The 19,104-nt window shown below is 37.7% G+C and overlaps 1 annotated feature.

The window, feature by feature from the left end:
- Positions 5,556–6,755: an enhancer, noted in NCBI's record as "MED14-independent group 3 enhancer chr3:28992829-28994028 (GRCh37/hg19 assembly coordinates)". NCBI's record gives its function as "activates an origin of replication core promoter dependent on BRD2, BRD4, P300/CBP and CDK7 cofactors, and independent of MED14, by STARR-seq in HCT116 cells {active_cell/tissue: HCT116}" and the evidence as "EXISTENCE:reporter gene assay evidence [ECO:0000049][PMID:35650434]".

Raw genomic sequence — 19,104 nt, forward strand, 5'->3', positions numbered from 1 at the left:
CCCATACTCCCATGAGAAACAACTTTACCAACTAGAGTATTGTTACTATGTAAAGTTCCTTTTACTTTAACCTCATAGTCTTCACTCATTTCCAAATAAGCACCTATTTCCCCCCCGCCGCCTCCCTTCAGTGTGGTTTGGTTGTCATACATTTGCTGTATAGTTAGACTCTTTTTCATGGCCTGAATTCTATCTTGGACACCCAGATTTTTTCTTTTTACCTTCTTGTAAAGACCTCAAATATTTCTGAGAATTACCTGATATTGTCACCACAAAATTGAATATAGCAATGATGCAAGCAAATGAGAATCATAAATTGACAAATATTGAGGAGAGAATACAACTTAGAGTAAAAAGCAAACAAACAAACAGAAGCACTTTCAAAGTCCTAGCTTTGCATGACTTCAAGCTAGCTGTGTCCTTCGGCAAGGTACCAAATTCCTCTAGGCCTTCAGTTTCTTACCTCTACAATTGGGTGCAGTTTCTCTGGATTGTTATGAGGATTAAATCAGAAAAGAAATATAAGAGTTTAAATGGTATACTATATTTTAAAGTACAATTATTAAATGAAATAAAGGTAAATTCCAAACTTCTGGCAAATAAAGTTTGGGTCAATAATACGGCTTTCATATATCTGGCTTATGTATGGTAGTTCTCCAACATTTGAATGAAAGGATGGTGTGTAAACATATTACCATTTATATTTCCAGGGGAACCCAAGGGACCACTTGGGGGTTTTGGTCCTATTAGATGCTTTGTTGGCCTCACTAACAAATATTTAGAGAGGTAAGATTTAAGAGTTTAAATGTTACACAAAGCCATTTGGACCTTTTTGGTTACTTCTACTTTTATGTACCTAGAAGTAACTCTTTTTTTTTGCACTCTATGGCAAGCTAATTTGTGTTGACCATGTCTCTGGGATATTAATTCTTCTCCAAGAATTAAAAAACATAATGTAATTCAGAGACATAGGGACTGGACATGCGTTTTGGGTGTAACACTTACTGGATTGGAAGGATATATGAACTTGAAGAATCTACTATATCAGTGTAGCCAAGTTGAGCAAAGTAGAGCCAGTGAAGAAAAAAAATGGACAGTCTCTCCTTAAGGCTACATATGTACATTGCACATTTTCAGAGGCACCATTCCTGTATATTAGTGTGAGTGGAATCCCCAGAATGGGCCAATATGCATGACATCTCTGGAGATGAAGTCCGTTTTCTTGTTGGTGTAAGGGAGAAAATACATTTAAAAAGCACACATACACACACACACACACACACACACACACACACACACACACAGACTACCATGCTTCCTATGATTTGACGATTGATAATTCTATAGTATATTTTATACTGCTTCATGGAACATTTTGTGTCTCTTTTTTAAGAAAAAATCATGATCTTAATGATCATGTGAACATTTTTGAAAGATGATACTTCTGCAGAATGTGCTACTGCCAACTCCCAAGGGTACTCCTGATTTATGATCTAAGCCTGAGTTTCCTCTTCATAAAATGAACTAAAGAGGCTGAAATAAATAATGTATAATAAAGCATTTGGTAAAAAGCAAGACGATTGGCATCAATGACCTGCTCTGACTCCACTTCCCATTCAGTGTTGTTCATACACTTCACAAATACCCAAATTCATCTTACCTACATCTCTCTCTATTCCTTTCATGTGTTTGACTTCTCCCCATGCAGTGTTTTATTGTAAATACCTCTTGTACTTTGATAACTACATTAAAATGAAAGCAATGTTTGTAGCAATTTATTTATACAGCTTTTTACTTTCTTTCATCTCAGCTGAATCCATAAATAAAAATGTCTTCTCTTTCAAGCAGTTGCCTATAAAGATATGCATATTTAAGAAAACCTGCAAAAGAATATGCTATCTTTATGATTTATTAAAAGAAGATAATTGAGGAGTTAAAAAATACCTTTCAGCCTACAATCATGAACTAAAGAGGGAAAATGTGTCGACTGGTATATATGCCAAGAATTGCTAGAAAATTATAGTTTTATTACTCAAGATCCTTTTCAGACAAATGGTTGGAGACAAATATTCCCTGTACTTTAACTGTGATTTATTTTACAAGTAAAGCTCTATCTATGCAGCATAACTTAAAGTTAGGATTTGAGTTAGATTGCCAGTTGTACCCAAGCCAAGCAATTCAAATTGTGAAGTGAAACTTTGAGTTGAATTCTCCAGCTTGTATTAAGATGGAAGGCTACTATATTGAGACCTTTCTATTAAAAATACAGGAAACACTTTTCTTCAGCTATTTTCCATCCCGGGTTTTCTGAAATAGACCATCTGCATTTCAATACTCCTTCCCATTTTCCCCATATGTATATCCTTTCCAATCAGAATATATGTTCCTATTTTTTGTTCAGCAAATGTAACTGCCATGTATGTTGTAAAATCTATCTTTTCCACATCTTAGTTCACTTTTAGAGACCACCCTTTTAGCAAGATTCGTCATTTCAGTAGTTTGGAAACAATAGCTTATTCAGGCAGCCACTTTTGATGGGAAATAGCATGGAATAGTGCAGGGTTTCCTAAACTGTGTTTCCCTGGGACATAGTTTCACAAAATGTTAATGAAAGTTTTATAGAGCATGGATTATTTGACTAGATACATGTAAGAATATTAAATTGAACAAAATTAAACAGTTTCTTTTTTGACAGGAGTTCCCAGAACTTTTGATAAGCACTTATGCATTGTGAATCTCAAGATAAATTTATAATTTCAGTCTTTCCAAAATTGTTATATATGTGGAACTCCCATTTTTCTTACAGGAAATTTTAATCTCCCATTTATTTATTGCTGCATCACATAACATCCCCTGATTTAAAACAATTTATTACTATCTGTCATAGTTCAGGCTTACTGGGTTCAATTGGGTGGTTCTAGCATGGATTCTTTTTTGCAGTTGCAATCAGATAGGCTGAGGATGAGTTATCTAAAGATGTAACTAGCCTACACATTTATGTGAATGGCAGTAGATGGTGGCTGTTGCCTAAGACCTCAGATGAGGTTGTCAGCAAGGACACTTATCTACATCTGTTTTCATGCTTTTGGCTTCTCTTACATTCTGTGAAGGAGCATTCTTGGACTCCCAGGGGAAAGCTCCATGGCTTCCAATAATCCAGCCTTGGAAGTCCCAGAACATCATTTTTGACACAGTTGTTTGGTCAAGCAAGGCCCAAAACCACCCTAGATTCAAGGGGAGGGGAATTAGAATCTATGTCTTGATAGAGACATGTGGACATTCAGGAAGGAAAATAATTCATGGTGGCCAACTCTGCAGATTATCCACCAGACTTTAACACCTCATGAGGCACTGAAATTCTGTGGAAAAGTTAGGGTAGTGGTGAATAGAAGTGTGTTGGGGAAATTGGTGTACAAGAATTCCCCATCAGGGAAAAATACTCTGTCATGGACATTGTTTAAAATTGTAGGTGTATGGTAATAACAAAAACATGCCAGCTTTTAGATAATTTTATTCTCATTTTAAAATTCCCTACAGAAGGGGTTGCCAGGTGAAGAACAAGATGCCCAGTTAAATTTGAATTTCAGATAAACAGCAAATAATTTTTTAGGTGTGGTATGTCTCACATATTGGACATACTTATACTAAAAAAAAATGGTTATTTATGTGAAATTCAAATTGACCTTTTGTATTTTTATTTGTTAAATCTGGCAACACTGTCTACAGATAACATATTATTTTATTGTTAGTGTTATTATTAGACTCTTCCTTCTGCCCCGCTTAACATTGCTACACCATTGAGTTTGTGGATAAAAAAAATGATGTCGCAAAAAGAACTTAGGTTTTAGAACCAGAGATATCTGATTTCAGATCCTAGCTTTGCCATGTACCAGCCTTATAACTGTAAATTATTTAAGCTCAGCAAGCCTAAGTTTCATCATCTGTTGGGACTAGTCATAACTACCTGGCAGAATTGCTAGGTGCTTAGATGAGATGTCTTCTGTAAACACCTAAACCTGTGATTGAGGTATAACAGGCATGGAGCCAAAGTTAATCTTGGTTCCTGTTTCCCTGCTAAAGCTGAGGCAAGAGGAAAATTCTGCTTAGTTTCCTGGATGGTGTTTATTTGATGAAGGATGTCAACTGGTAGAGATCTAGGTGGGACTTTTAATTCTTGCAGGTGAATGGAGTAAGTAAGATGTCATCTTGGGAGTTGAAAGTTTGATGGGAAGAAAGATATGTTTAAAGTGATGATGGCAACTGTGCTGTCAACACTGTGATCATCCCATAAGGTCTATTATGTAATCCTCTGAATTACTTACTCAACAATATTTTTATTTTGATTTTATTTGCTTGCATATCCATACTTTTATGTAGATTGTTACTCAAAATCTGTTATAGTATAATTCATTATGGGGTAAATTCCATATCTGTTATTCTGATTAACCACACCAAGAAAAATTTGGGACAAGTGAAATCTGAATTAATACAGTAAAAGCAGTATCTCTTGGATAAAACTCGAATATGCAGGGAAATATTTAATGAACACATACTGTGACAAACACTGTGGAATTCTCTCTGAAATAGGTTGTGGTTAGCTCCATGTTTATAGCTAGGGAAATTGAGGCTCAAATTGGCCTGAAAAGAGTTACAAGGCAAATAAAAGCAAATAAACTCCTCCCCTCCAACTCTTTTGTAACACCCCTTGTTTAGGTCACCAATAGCATTCATGTCACTGAGTGCAATGGACATTTCTCAGTTCTGATATTGGTTGACCTTTCAGCAGTATTCCACAGTGTTTACCATGACTCCCCTGTTTGAAAGACCCTGTTCTGTTCTCAGTAATACTTCACTCTCCTGAGTCCCTCCATCTTCTCTGGCTTTTCTTTTATTTCTTGGAGGCTTGTCTTTTTCATTAGGTATGTTTTGAAGTTCCTCAAGACTGGGCCTGAGGCATCTTCTCTTCTATTTTTTCTCTTTTACCTTTAGGGGAAAAGAAAAGTGATAGGTGATTTATTTATTTATTTATTTATTTATTTATTTATTTATTACCTATCACTAGGTTCATGGCTGTGGTTCTTAAAGATTAATAAGAGACAATTATACAGATTTATTTAATGTAAGTTTTATATGACATGAGAACCTTCAGAAATGGGGAGCCAAGGAAACAGGGAAAGCTGTACATTTTTATGTTAGGTTTGACAAAGAAGTCAATAGTAATGGATAAGTATGATTGGACAAAGGGAATACCATTTAATGATAATACATCAACTTAGCAAGGCCTATTTGTTCAGATTCTTCTCAACGTCCCTGATTCTTCAGAGATAGGGATGTTCCTTTTCTCCAGGTATGGGGGGGTATCTTTTGAATGATGGTCTTATGACCTGCTTCAGGGGAGAAGGAAGGGAGAGGATCAGAGAGTGACCTTCCTAGGTTTTATGGCTTACTTCAAGGGAGAACGGTGATAGGAAGGTGGGAGAGACTTCCTTGCTTCTGTTTTCTCAGATACCAAGGTACCACATTTTGGGATACTGTATACTGTTCCCCATCTTATCTCAATCACATGTACAGCTTCAGTTAGCACTTACCATAGTTCTCCGGGTCTCACACATCTCTCCACTGCCCACACCAGGGTTACACCTTTATTTTCATTGGTTTGCTTATTTCTTAATATCTTCATGTCTGCTTTTACTTACTGTCAGATCCTTAGGGCCTTGCATTTAGTGGTCATTTTACATAGACTTGAGGATTGAAAGAATACATGAATGAATGAACCCAGATTACTGTGACCTGAAACCTCTTTTTTTCACTCCCTACTCTGCATCCCAAAGAACTTTAGGCACCAGAAAATCCCAGAACTTCATTTTGTACACAAGGGGGCTGAAATTCAGAGAAACCTAAAAAGTTTGGCAAAGTCACATAGCACTCAGAAGCTGGGTCTAGTATTCTGCTCTCTCAAAGACTGGGGCTGTGTGCCTCTCTGTAGATTTGATCCCAGCTCACCTGCATGACTGAACATGTTCACAAGAATGATGGTTTTCCTTTTCTGGTAATGGAAAAGTGGTCTTTAGCAACTGGATTAGCATATGTTCATTCTATAATTCATCTCTGCCCTTTAGATGCAGCCAGAATCTGAGATACGTACCTGTATCACTTTCCCAGCACTTTCCTTTATTGGTTTGTCTTTTACAATGACTCAGCATTTTTCATCATGCCTTGTTTTCCGCTCTTTACTGTATCTGAGAAAAATAGCCCTTTAATAATAAAATATGATAGTTCACACAAACTTAATAGAATTCTTAGAAATTCCGTATGTCAAAGGTTTGAAGTTCTGTGTTGAAATACCAAAAATATTAGTAAAATCCTATATAGCTAATAGCTTTTTCTAAAACCCCACAAAAAGATTTCTCTCTTTCCATACTAGAGTCTGCACACATATGCTGTGGTTGGTGGTGTGGTGAGTGGTACTTTTTTTATTGATTGACAGAGTAAATAGAGTATAAAGCCAAAATAATCCACAGCAGATGACTAAAAGCATGTTAAACTTAGCTAAGAGTAAAGGTACTTGCCATTTTTAAACCTTCCTTTTGCTTCCTCTTTTTTTCTAGTGGTGGTGGAGGGTGTGGCAGGGTAATGTGGATTGCCAAAGCAAGCAAAAGGGAAAGGAAAAACATAGCATACATGAGAAACGTTAGGAAAAGAATTGAACAATATTTCCATTCTGTTACAGAGTTACATCATTATTGACTGATGGAACTGAAAAAACCCTTAGAAACTATCCTTCTTACTCCTTCAGTTTTACAGATGAAAATTGCAAAGTCCGGAGAGGTTATGTGATTTATCCAGGGTCACACAATTATTTAATGAAAGAGTTGAGTTGAGGTCATTTGATGTCGGTTTGTCCTGCAAAGTTCAGCTTGCTTATTATATTCTCTATGACATCTTTTATCAGTTCGCCCAGTCCATTGTGCCCCACCGTACCAGTATTGCCATAGCACCCTGCATTTCCTGTGCACTATGTGGTGTCATATGTGCCTCTTGTCTGCGTCAGATTTTGAGCTCCATGAGTTCTGCGATTGCACTGTTCATGTGTCAAGGAGGAAGAAGGCAAGAGGGTTATTGACATGTCCTCTTGTGTGGTGAGGATTGCTACACTTTTTCCAAATATAGGCCTCTTTGCCCATCCCTACCTATAAATTTCCCAGACAGCTCTTTTGTTCTGTGGTACTTTCATCTTACCTAATATCTAAGACCCAGCCTGTCTCATTGGTAATGCTTTGCTACCGCACCTGTCATCCTTACCTGTGTCTGCTACTCATGAGTTGACCCAGGGAAGGCTATTTAGTCTTGTTGAGGACCAGTTTTCTTTAGTCTGGGTATACAAATGGGTATACAAACAGCTGTATTTTAAGATATTCATTTAGACTATGCAAAAGGGGAAGAAGGAAGTCTTTCTGTGTGTATGCCCATTTCACAGACAAAAGAAAACTGGTCCTCAACAAGACTAAATAGCTTATCATTTATCATTTTTCTCTTGGGTCCTCATAGAGAGTGGGCTGAACTGGCGAGGCAGTAAATAAAGTGGTCTACTTGCTTCCTTACAACTTGCTGAGTAGTTTTAGTTGTTGTTGTCATGATTATTGCTGTTTTACTTTTGGTTCCTAAGATTTTTACACTTTTGCTCATCTAGAATTTATTATCTAGGATTTCCTAATGATAAGATGGATTACACCGATCGATTTTTGAATGTTGAATTCTCTTTGCATACCCGGAATAAATTCCACTTGGTTGTGGTATATATTTCCTTTTATATCAATACTTTAAAAAATTCATTTGCTAATTTTTGGAGGAATTTTGCAGCTATGTTCATGATAGATATCAGCCTCTAATATCAGCCAACACCATTAAAATTAGACCAGTTAATAATCCTACAATGCCACTAAGTGTTCAAATAAAAGAAAGAGTTGCACATCTCTCATTTTAAATCAACTGCTAGAAATGATTATTCTTAGTGAGGAGTGTGTGTCACAAACCAAAATAGGATGAAAGCTAGGCCTCTTGTGCCAGACAGTTAGCCAAGTTGTGAATACAAAGAAAAAGTTCTTAAAGGAAACTGAAAATGCTACTTCAGTAGCAACAAAGCCTGGATGACAGCACATTTGTTTACAGAATGGTTGACTGCATATTTTAATTCCACTGTTGAGACCTCCTGCTGAGAAAAAAAAATCCTTTCAAAATAGTATTGCTCATTGACAATGTACCTGTCATCCAAGAGCTCTGATGGAGATGTACAAGATTAATGCTGTTTTCATAGCTGCTAACACAACGTGAACACATGAATGATAAGAAAGTGAAAAGTTTTGTTGCTGATATGAAGAAAATTTTAGTGATCTGGATAGAAGATCAAACCGGCCACAACATTCCCTTATGCCAAAACTTAATCCAGAGCAAGGCCCTAACTGCCTACAATTCTATGAATGTTGAAAGAGATGAGGAAGCTGTAGAAGAAAACTTTAAAGCAAGCAGACGTTGGTTCATGCAGTTTAAAAAAAGAAGCCATCTCTATAACATAAAAGTTCAAGGTGAAGTAGCAAGTGCTAATGGAAAGGATGCAACAAGTTATTCAGAAGGTCTAGCTAAGATAATCCATTTTCCAGGTAGACAAAACAGACTTATATTAGAAGATGTCATCTAAGACTTTCATAGCTAGAGAGGAGAAGTTAATGTCTGGCTTCAAAACTTCAAAGGGTAGGCTGACTCTTGTTGGAGCTATTGCAGCTGGTGACTTTAAGTTGAAGCCAGTGCTCATTACCATTTTGAAAATCCTAGATCCTTTCTAAGAATTATGCTAAAACTACTCTGCCGACACTCTTTAAATGAAACAACAAAGCCTGGTGTACAAGATTAATGCTGTTTTCATAGCTGCTTGAAGGCTCAGATGATTATTAACATTTTTAGCAATATGCACTTTTGACACAATGCTACTGAAGACTTAATAGATTATGATGTAGTGTAGAGCTAACTATATCTACAGTAAAAAAACATAAAATTCAGTATGACTCACTTCATTGTGATATTCTCTTCATTGAGGTGGTCTGGAACTGGACCTGCCATATCTCTGATGATCATCTGTATCTAATTTGTGTTTACCTATTGATGTAAGCAAGTTTGGGTTGTGTTTCCATATGGGCTTTTCGGTGCCATCTTAATGAGAGGCTTTGTTAGGCAGTTTATATGTGTTGTTCATTCAGTCTTCACAAGAGCTTTATGGGTCAGATATTCCTACTAACTTGTTACAGATGAGGAAACAGAGTGTCAAATATTGTTTTATAATAAACAGGAAGAGTATTATCCATTGTATAGGTACTTTAAAATAGGTGCTTTAAAATAGTTCTTGATTGCTTTCCTAATCTCCTTACACATATAGAGACCTATGCTGTGTTAGCTGTATAATCTGAAAGCAAGAGATCATTTGGTAGAAACAAAATGAAATGGCTTAATGTTGGCAGGGTGTTAACTTTCAATGCCACTGAAATTCAAATGGTAGTGGTGCCCCTAGTTTTATTACTGGTAAGTAATTTTTAATTAAGTGTTGATTCCATGCACAGCTGGTTGCATCACACAGACATGCTCCATGCCCTCCTTTGGTTCTGGTTCCCAGGGATAGCAGGCAGGGATTTCCTTGTTCAGCAGCATGACTGCAGTGGGGTAAATACATCTTGGTTCTTGGTTTTATTTCCACAGCTAAATTACATGTACAGTATCCTGATGAGAGGATATTGGGCTGTCACTTGCTAAAGAGAGAAGCACAAGTAATTATGTGAACCTTGTTTGGCATTTATAAGCAACCTGGTCAATTCTGAGAAATGAACAAGACAGTAGACACTTCCATGAAAGGTGGCTGATTGATAGTCTAGCCAAAATATGATACCTGGTAATTTATGGCAATTTTCTCTAACAGGAGTAGATACTGAATTTGTTTCAAAAATGCCTCAAGAGTCTATCCTATCAAGGCATTACTACTTTTTGCAAAGCACACACTAGAAGAAAAAAATGCTTCAGATCAGAAAATAAGGAAATTGTGTGTCTCTGTGTATGCATGCATACACATGCATATGTGTGTGCGTGTTGTAGGGGGAAGGACTTAATTTAGTGAGCTATGGAATTCATGTAGACAGATTGATAAGATTACATCTTATTGCTTTGTGGAGGTTGCAAAATTATTCCCACTGCAGAATTTGTTAAAAGAAAAGGAGAGAGTGATTTAAAGAAATGTATTTGATTTTGATAAGTAACTCATGGGTAATTCCCTCTACAATATTTTAAACAAATATGCCATTAAAAGCCTGCATCTCAATCTCTTTGCACAACTTCTTTTATCCTATTGCCAATTTAAATTATAGAATAGCAATCACCTATTTTAAAATTCTCTCCATCATTTTAACTGTGAAGTCAGAAAAATGGTGCTTATTACTTCACTGAGCTGCTAGCATGATGTGAGAGAAGGAGGTATGTTCTTTCCAATAAACATCTGAGAGAATCAGGATATGTTTTAATTCTGTTTCTGCCATAAATTAATGTATAACTTTTGGAAATCATGTGCCCTCTCAATGTCTAAGTTCCTATGTTTTAAAGTAGAAGCTAAAATACCTATCAAACTTACATTAAAGGGTTGAAATGGTGATAAAGTGAGATAGTGTATTTGAAATTGTAGAGACCTTTTGGATTTTGCCCACTTTGCATTGATGTGGCATAGTTTACAAATATGAATTTTGGTTCTAAAATTTCTAAAAATTCTTTCTGGATATGGACAAATGATTGACATAGCAGTATGTTCTATGAATACTATGCCTTGCCTTCACCTGCTAAGTTTCCTACATTTTAACACATAGGCCTGAGCAGTAAGAATATGGTAACATATGTACATATATGTATTGGCAGAGGTGAGGTGAGCTAAATTTGAAGACAGAATGTAGAACAAATAATGTCTTAGAACTGTGGATGTCACTCATGTAGGATAATATTGCTCTTGACCCACTCATGGTTAGTCAAAGATGGTTCAAGGTTTTTTTTTTTTAATTATCAAAATGACTGGATTATAGTGATGGGGGCAGCATAATCACTAATGATAAGAAAACACAGTGGTCCTGCATGTTAAGTTAAAAACACTTTAATTGTATAGACATATAATTTAGTAAAATCGGTAATTTTGATTTTTGAACAATATTATGTTTTCTAAGCTTTTTTTCCCCCGTCTAGACTGGTAAGAACAGGGTGACCTAGTACTTTGTTTTGTCGAGATATAATTGACCTGTAATATTCATCCTTTTAAAGTGTACAATTGAGTGCCTTTTATTATACATTGTACAAAAATTATGTATTGTACAAAATTGTACAAACACCAACTTCCTCTAATTTACTTTTGTAATCCCCAAAGAAACTCCATATCCGCCAGTAGCCACTCCCTGTTCCTCCCCACTCTTTACCTAGCAACCACTAATCTACATTTTGTCTTTCTGGATTTGCCTGTTTTGAAAATTTCATATAAATGGAATCATACAACATGTGCCTTTTTGTGTCTGGCTTCTTTCACTTAGCAATGTTTTCAAGGTTCATCTATGTTGTATTATGTATCATTAGGTCATTCCTTCTTATGGCTGAATAATTTCTACTGTATAGATATACTATATTTTGTTTATCCATTCCTCAGTTGATGGACATTTGAATTGTTTTCATTTTTTGGCTATTATGAATAATGCTTTTATAAATACTTGTGTTCAGGATTATGTGTGAATACTTTTTAAATTTGTAGAGTTCATTTTCTTCGGATTAATTTTTTAGGTTTACAGAAAACTTGAGCTGGCAGTACGGAGTTCTATATATTACCTCTCTCCACTCACCTGCCACTGTGCACAGTTTCTCCTATTATTAACTTCTTGTATTGGTCTGTTACATTATTTGTAATTCATGAAGCAATATTGAAACAATATTATTAACCATAGTCCATAGTTTACATTAGGTTTCATTCTTGGTGCTGTACAGTTCTATGGATTTTGGTCAGATTCATAATATCAGGTATCTAACCTAAATTATAATGTAAAGAATAATAATTGTAAGACACTAAAAATCTCCATCTATTCATCCTTCTCTCCATTCCCCCAAACCCCTGGCAATCACTGATCTTTTTACTGTCTCCATAGTTTTGCCTTTTCCACCATGTCATATAGTTGGAATCATACAGTTTGTAGCATTTTTAGGCTGGCTTCTTTCACTCAGTAGTATGTGTTTAAAATTCCTCTATGTCTTTTTCTGGCTTGATAGCTCATTTCCTTTTATCGTCAAATAATATTTCATTGTAACATATTGAAACTATTGAAGGATATCTTGATTATTTCAATTTTTGGTAATTATTAATAAAGCTGCTGTAAACATTCTTGTTCAGGTTTTTGTGTGAGAAGAAGTTTTCAAGTCGTTTGGGTTACTTAGGAGTGCAATTGTTGAATCATATGGTAAGATTATGTGTAGCTTTTTTAAAAAACTGCCAAATGTTCTTCCTTAGTGACTCTATTATTTTGCATTCTTACCAGCAAAGAATGAATGTTTCTGTTACTCCATATCTCACCAGCATTTGGTGGTGTACATGTTTTAGATTTTAGCCATTCTAATAGGTGTGAGGTAGAATCTTATTATTATAGTTTGCAATTCTCGAACTGCAGCAGAGAGGCATGGGAGGGGCTGTACAAGTTATGGAGCCGGTGGGAGCCCCACCCCTTCGGAGTTGGGGCAGGAGCTCCCGGGTGCCTCTGCAGCTGCCCAAAGTGCAGCTGCAGACGAAGGCTTCCTGCTCTACCAGCAGGCAGGTGCCCTGACCTTCTGGGTGGGGCTGCAGACAACCAAACTGCAGTTATGGATGCAGACCTCCCTGTGATCTTGGAGGGGTCCAGGAGCAGGCAAGAACTGCCATCCTGGGTGCAACTGCAGCCACTGGATCCCAGGCTGAAGACTCCACGGAGCAGGCAGTAGTTGGGGACAAGCAGGCATGTTGCCCCTTCGGGGTTGGCCAGGTGGGAGCTCTCCAGGTGCAGCTGTAGCCTCAGCATCCTCCCAGTCACAGGACCTAGGCATCTATGCAGCCTCCATCCTTGGGGCCCAGGAAGGACCCCACCCCATTTCTGCAGGGTCCAGGGTGTCTGCTCCCACTGCCTGGCCTCTCTTCTCTCCCACTGCCATCTCCAAGCGGGAATGGGGCCAAGCAGCTGGGGCCTTGAATGGCAGCTGGAGGCAGAGTCCTGGGCAGAAGGGGCGGTTCCCCAGTAAGGCCCCACCTTCAGGCCAGGGAGGGCCTGAAGGTTGGGGGCTGGGCTGCCACTCCCCTGGATGGTAGTGGAGACTGGTGGTGTCTGATCCGGACCACCCATGGACCAATCAGCATGCACTGCCTCCCCTCTGACATCCATAAAAGCCTTGGGCTCAGCCAGAGCAGAGTAGATGATAAAGAGACAACAGGATGTCCAACTGCAGAGAGGAGCTACCCTCTCTGCTGATAGCTGGAGACATTGGGAGGACCAGCTGCAGAGAGGAGCTACCCTTTCTGCTGAGAATCTCAGAGACCTGCAGAGAGGTCTGAATGACCTGCCTGCAGATAGGAGCTACCTTTTCCAGGGCCTCCTCACTGCTGAGAGCGGCAGACATTGCATGGACAAGTGAGCAGAGAGGAGCTATCCTCTCCAGGGCCTCCTCTCTGCTGAGAGCTGAACACTTGATGGGAGGACCTGCTTGCCTACAGAGGGAAGCTACCCACCTTGGGTCTCCTCTGAGCTGTTCTAGCACTAAATAAAGCTATTTGGTGAGATGTCTGTTCATATATTTTGCCCATGTCTTAGTTTATTATGTTTGCTTGTTTTCTTGTTAAGGTTTAAATGCACATGTTTTTAATTTGGAGGGGTATATACCTAGGAATGAAATTGCGGAGTCATATGTTAATTCTATGTTTAACTTTTTGAGAAACTATAAAACTGTTTTTCAAAGCAATTGTACCACTTTAAATTCCCAACAGCAAAATACAAAAATTCTGTGGGATCGGTGGTGATATCCCCTTTGTCATTTTTTATTGTGTCTATTTGATTCTTCTCTCTTCTTTATTAGTCTTGCTAGCAGCCTATCAATTTTGTTGATCTTTTCAAAAAACCAGCTCCTGGATTCATTGATTTTTTGAAGGGTTTTTTGTGTCTGTATTTCTTCAGTTCTGCTCTGATGTTAGTTATCCCACAGAAATACAAACTACCATCAGAGAATACTATAAAGACCTCTCTGCAAATAAACTAGAAAATCTAGAAGAAATGGATAAATTCCTCGACACATACACTCTCCCAAGACTAAACCAGGAAGAAGTTGAATCTCTGAATAGACCAATAACAGGCTCTGAAATTGAGGCAATAATTAATAGCTTACCAACCAAAAAAAGTCCAGGACCAGATGGATTCACAGCCGAATTCTACCAGAGGTACAAGGAGGAGCTGGTACTATTCCTTCTGAAACTATTCCAATCAATAGAAAAAGAGAGAATCCTCCCTAACTCATTTTATGAGGCCAGCATCATCCTGATACCAAAGCCTGGCAGAGACACAACAAAAAAAGAGAATTTGAGACCAATATCCTTGATGAACATTGATGCAAAAATCCTCAATAAAATACTGGCAAACCGAATCCAGCAGCACATCAAAAAGCTTATCCACCATGATCAAGTGGGCTTTGTCCCGGGGATGCAAGGCTGGTTCAACATACACAAATCAATAAACGTAATCCAGCATATAAACAGAACCAAAGACAAAAACCACATGATTATCTCAATAGATGCAGAAAAGGCCTTTGACAAAATTCAACAGCCCTTCATGCTGAAAACTCTCAATAAATTAGGTATTGATGGGATGTATCTCAAAATAATAAGAGCTATCTATGACAAACCCACAGCCAATATCATACTGAATGGACAAAAACTGGAAGCATTCCCTTTGAAAACTGGCACAAGACAGGGATGCCCTCTCTCACCACTCCTATTCAACATCGTGTTGGAAGTTCTGGCCAGGGCAATTAGGCAGGAGAAGGAAATAAAGGGCATTCAATTAGGAAAAGAAGTCAAATTGTCCCTGTTTGCAGATGACATGATTGTATATCTAGAAAACCCCATCGTCTCAGTGCAAAATCTCCTTAAGCTGATAAGCAACTTCAGCAAAGTCTCAGGATACAAAATCAATGTACAAAAATCACAAGCATTCTTATACACCAATAACAGACAAACAGAGAGCCAAATCATGAGTGAACTCCCATTCACAATTGCTTCAAAGAGAATAAAATACCTAGGAATCCAACTTACAAGGGATGTGAAGGACCTCTCCAAGGAGAACTACAAACCACTGCTCAATGAAATAAAAGAGGATACAAGCAAATGGAAGAACATTCCATGCTCATGGGTAGGAAGAATCAATATCATGAAAATGGCCGTACTGCCCAAGGTAATTTATAGGTTCAATGCCATCCCCATCAAGCTACCAATGACTTTCTTCACAGAATTGGAAAAAAACTACTCTTTAAACTTCCTATGGAACCAAAAAAGAGCCTGCATTGCCAAGGCAATCCTAAGCCAAAAGAACAAAGCTGGAGGCATCACACTACCTGACTTCAAACTATACTACAAGGCTACAGTAACCAAAACAGCATGGTACTGGTACCAAAACAGAGATATAGACCAATGGAACAGAACAGAGCCCTCAGAAATAATGCCGCATATCTACAAATATCTGATTTTTGACAAACCTGAGAAAAAGAAGCAATGGGGAAAGGATTCCCTATTTAATAAATGGTGCTGGGAAAACTGACTAGCCATATGTAGAAAGCTGAAACTGGACCCCTTCCTTACACCTTATACAAAAATTAATTCCAGATGGATCAAAGACTTAAATGTTAGACCTAAAACCATAAAAACCCTAGAAGAAAACCTACGCAATACCACTCAGGACATAGGCATGGGCAAGGACTTCATGTCTAAAACACCAAAAGCAATGACAACAAAAGCCAAAATTGACAAATGGGATCTAATTAAACTAAAGAGCTTCTGCACAGCAAAAGAAACCACCATCAGAGTGAACAGGCAACCTACAGAATGGGAGAAAAATTTTGCAACCTACTCATCTGACAAATGGCTAATATCCAGAATCTACAATGAACTCAAACAAATTTACAAGAAAAAAACAAACAACCCCATCAAAAAGTGGGCAAAGGATATGAACAGACACTTCTCAAAAGAAGACATTTATGCAGCCAAAAAACACGTGAAAAAATGCTCATCATCACTGGCCATCAGAGAAATGCATATCAAAACCACAATGAGATACCATCTCTCACCAGTTAGAATGGTGATCATTAAAAAGTCAGGAAACAACAGGTGCTGGCGAGGATGTGGAGAAATAGGAACACTTTTATAGTGTTGGTGGGAGTGTAAGCTAGTTGAACCATTGTGGAAGTTGGTGAGGCGATTCCTCAGGGATCTAGAACTAGAAATACCATTTGACCCAGCCATCCCATTACTGGGTATACTCCCAAAGGATTATAAATCATGGTGCTATAAAGATGCATGCACACGTATGTTTATTGCGGCACTATTCACAATAGCAAAGACTTGGAACCAACCCAAATGTCCAACAATGATAGACTAGATTAAGAAAATATGGCACATATACACCATGGAATACTATGCAGCCATAAAAAAGGATGAGTTCGTGTCCTTTGTAGGGATGAAGCTGGAAACCATCATTCTCATCAAACTATCGCAAGGACAAAAAAACCAAACACCACATGTTCTCACTCATAGGTGGGAATTGAACAATGAGAACACATGGACACAGGAATGGGAACATCACACACCGGGGCCTGTCATGGGGTGGGGGGAGGGGGGAGGGATAGCATTAGGAGATATACCTAATGTTAAATGACGAGTTACTGGGTGCAGCACACCAACATGGCACATGTATACATATGTAACAAACCTGCACGTTGTGCACATGTACCCTAAAACTTAAAGTATAATAATAATAAAAAAGGAGAAAAAAAAACAAAATACAGAAATTTTGATTTCTCTGAATCATTGTCAACACTTATTATTTTTAGTCTTTCAAATTATAGACATCCTAGTGGCTGTGATGTGGTATCTCAATGCACTTTTGATTTGCATGTAGTCAGATCATTTTTAAAACTTCATTCTACCAATCAGTGATTTTGTATTGGAGTCTATTTACATTTAATGTAACAAACGATAAGATAAGGTTTACATTTGCCATTTTGCAATTTGTTTTCTGTATGTCTATTGCCTTTTTTTCTTATTGTTCTGCATTTCCTCTTTTACTATCTGCTTTTGTGTTAAATCAGTTTTTCTACAATACTATTTTAATTTCCTTGTCATTTTACTATGTACAGTTTATTTTGTTAATGGTGGCCTTGAAAATTATAATGAACATACTAACATATAACAATCTACTCAGATCAATAGAAACCTAATTTCAATATTATAAAAAAAATGTGATTCTATATAGCTCCATTCTCCCTGCCGTCCTTGGTAATATTGTTGCCATACAAATAACATCTGTATAAATTATGTTCTTAGGGCTGCTATAACAGGATACAATAGACCAAGTAGCTTAAACAACAAACATTTATTTCTAAACAAGAAACATTTATTTCTCACAGTTCTAGAGGCTGGAAGTCTGAGTTCAGTGTGAGAACCAAGAACTTAGCATAGTCAGGTTCTTGGTGAGGGCCCTCTTTCTGGTTATGTCCTCACATGGTAGTCTTTGGTGAGTGCATGCAGAAAGCAAATGATCTCTAGTCTCTTTCTCTTCCTCTAAGGACACTAATTCCATGATGGAGGTTCCACCCTCATGAACTGATTACCTATTAAAGGCCCTACCTCCTAATACCATTACATTGGGCATTATGGTTTCAATGTATGAATTTTGCATGGGACACAAACATTTGGTACATATCTACTGATCTATACAGATTTATAATTATTGTTTTGTGCACTTTTTATCAGATAGAAAAAAAGGAAGTGTAAAAACAAGATATCAATTTATATTATCTTTTCTATTTGCGTAGTTACCTTTACTGGTACGTACGTTTTTTTTTTGTTTTTTGTTTTTTTTTTTTTGAGACGGAGTCTCGCTCTGTCACCCAGGCTGGAGTGCAGTGGCGCAATCTCGGCTCACTTCAGGCTCCGCCTCCCGGATTCACGCCATTCTCCTGCCTCAGCCTCCTGAGTAGCTGGGACTACAGGCACCCGCCACCGCGCCCGGCTAACTTTTTTTTTTTTTTGTATTTTTAGTAGAGACGGGGTTTCACCGTGTTAGCCAGGATGGTCTCAATCTTCTGACCTCGTGATCCGCCCGCCTCGGCCTCCCAAAGTGCTGGGATTACAGGCGTGAGCCACCACGCCTGGCCTACTGGTACTCTTTATTTCCTTCATGTGAGTTTAAGTTACTGTCTAGGGACCTTTCATTTCATTCTTAAGGACTTCCTTTGGTATTTCTTGTAGATCACATCTGCTAGTGACTAGTTCTCTCAGTTTTTGTTTACCTGGTAATGTATCAATTTTTCTTTCATTTTTGAATGATATTTTTGCTGGCTATAAAATTCTTGATTAACAGTCATTTTCTTTTAGCTCTTTGAATATTGTATCCCACTACTTTATAGCTTCCATGGGTTCTGATGAGAAATCAGCTATTAACCTTATTGAGGATTCTTTGTACATAATGAGTTAATACTCTGCTGCTTTTAAGATTTTCTGTCTTCATAGCTGATAGTTGGATTGTGTATGTGTTTGAGTCTTTAAGTTCTTCCTACTTGGAGTTAGTCAAGGTTCTTGAATGTGTAGGTTAATATTTTCCATCAAATTTGGGAAGTTTTTAGACAGTATTTTTTCCAAATTTTTTCTGTTCTTTTATCTTTTCCCACTTCTTTTGTGCCCCTCCACTCACTTATCCTGCCTCCACTGTCTATCTTTCTACTTTCTACCTCCATGTATTCGAGTATTTTAGTTCCCACATATAAGTGAGA

This window comes from Homo sapiens, chromosome 3, assembly GCF_000001405.40.
Source record: "Homo sapiens chromosome 3, GRCh38.p14 Primary Assembly".
NCBI classification, from domain to species: domain Eukaryota; kingdom Metazoa; phylum Chordata; class Mammalia; order Primates; family Hominidae; genus Homo; species Homo sapiens.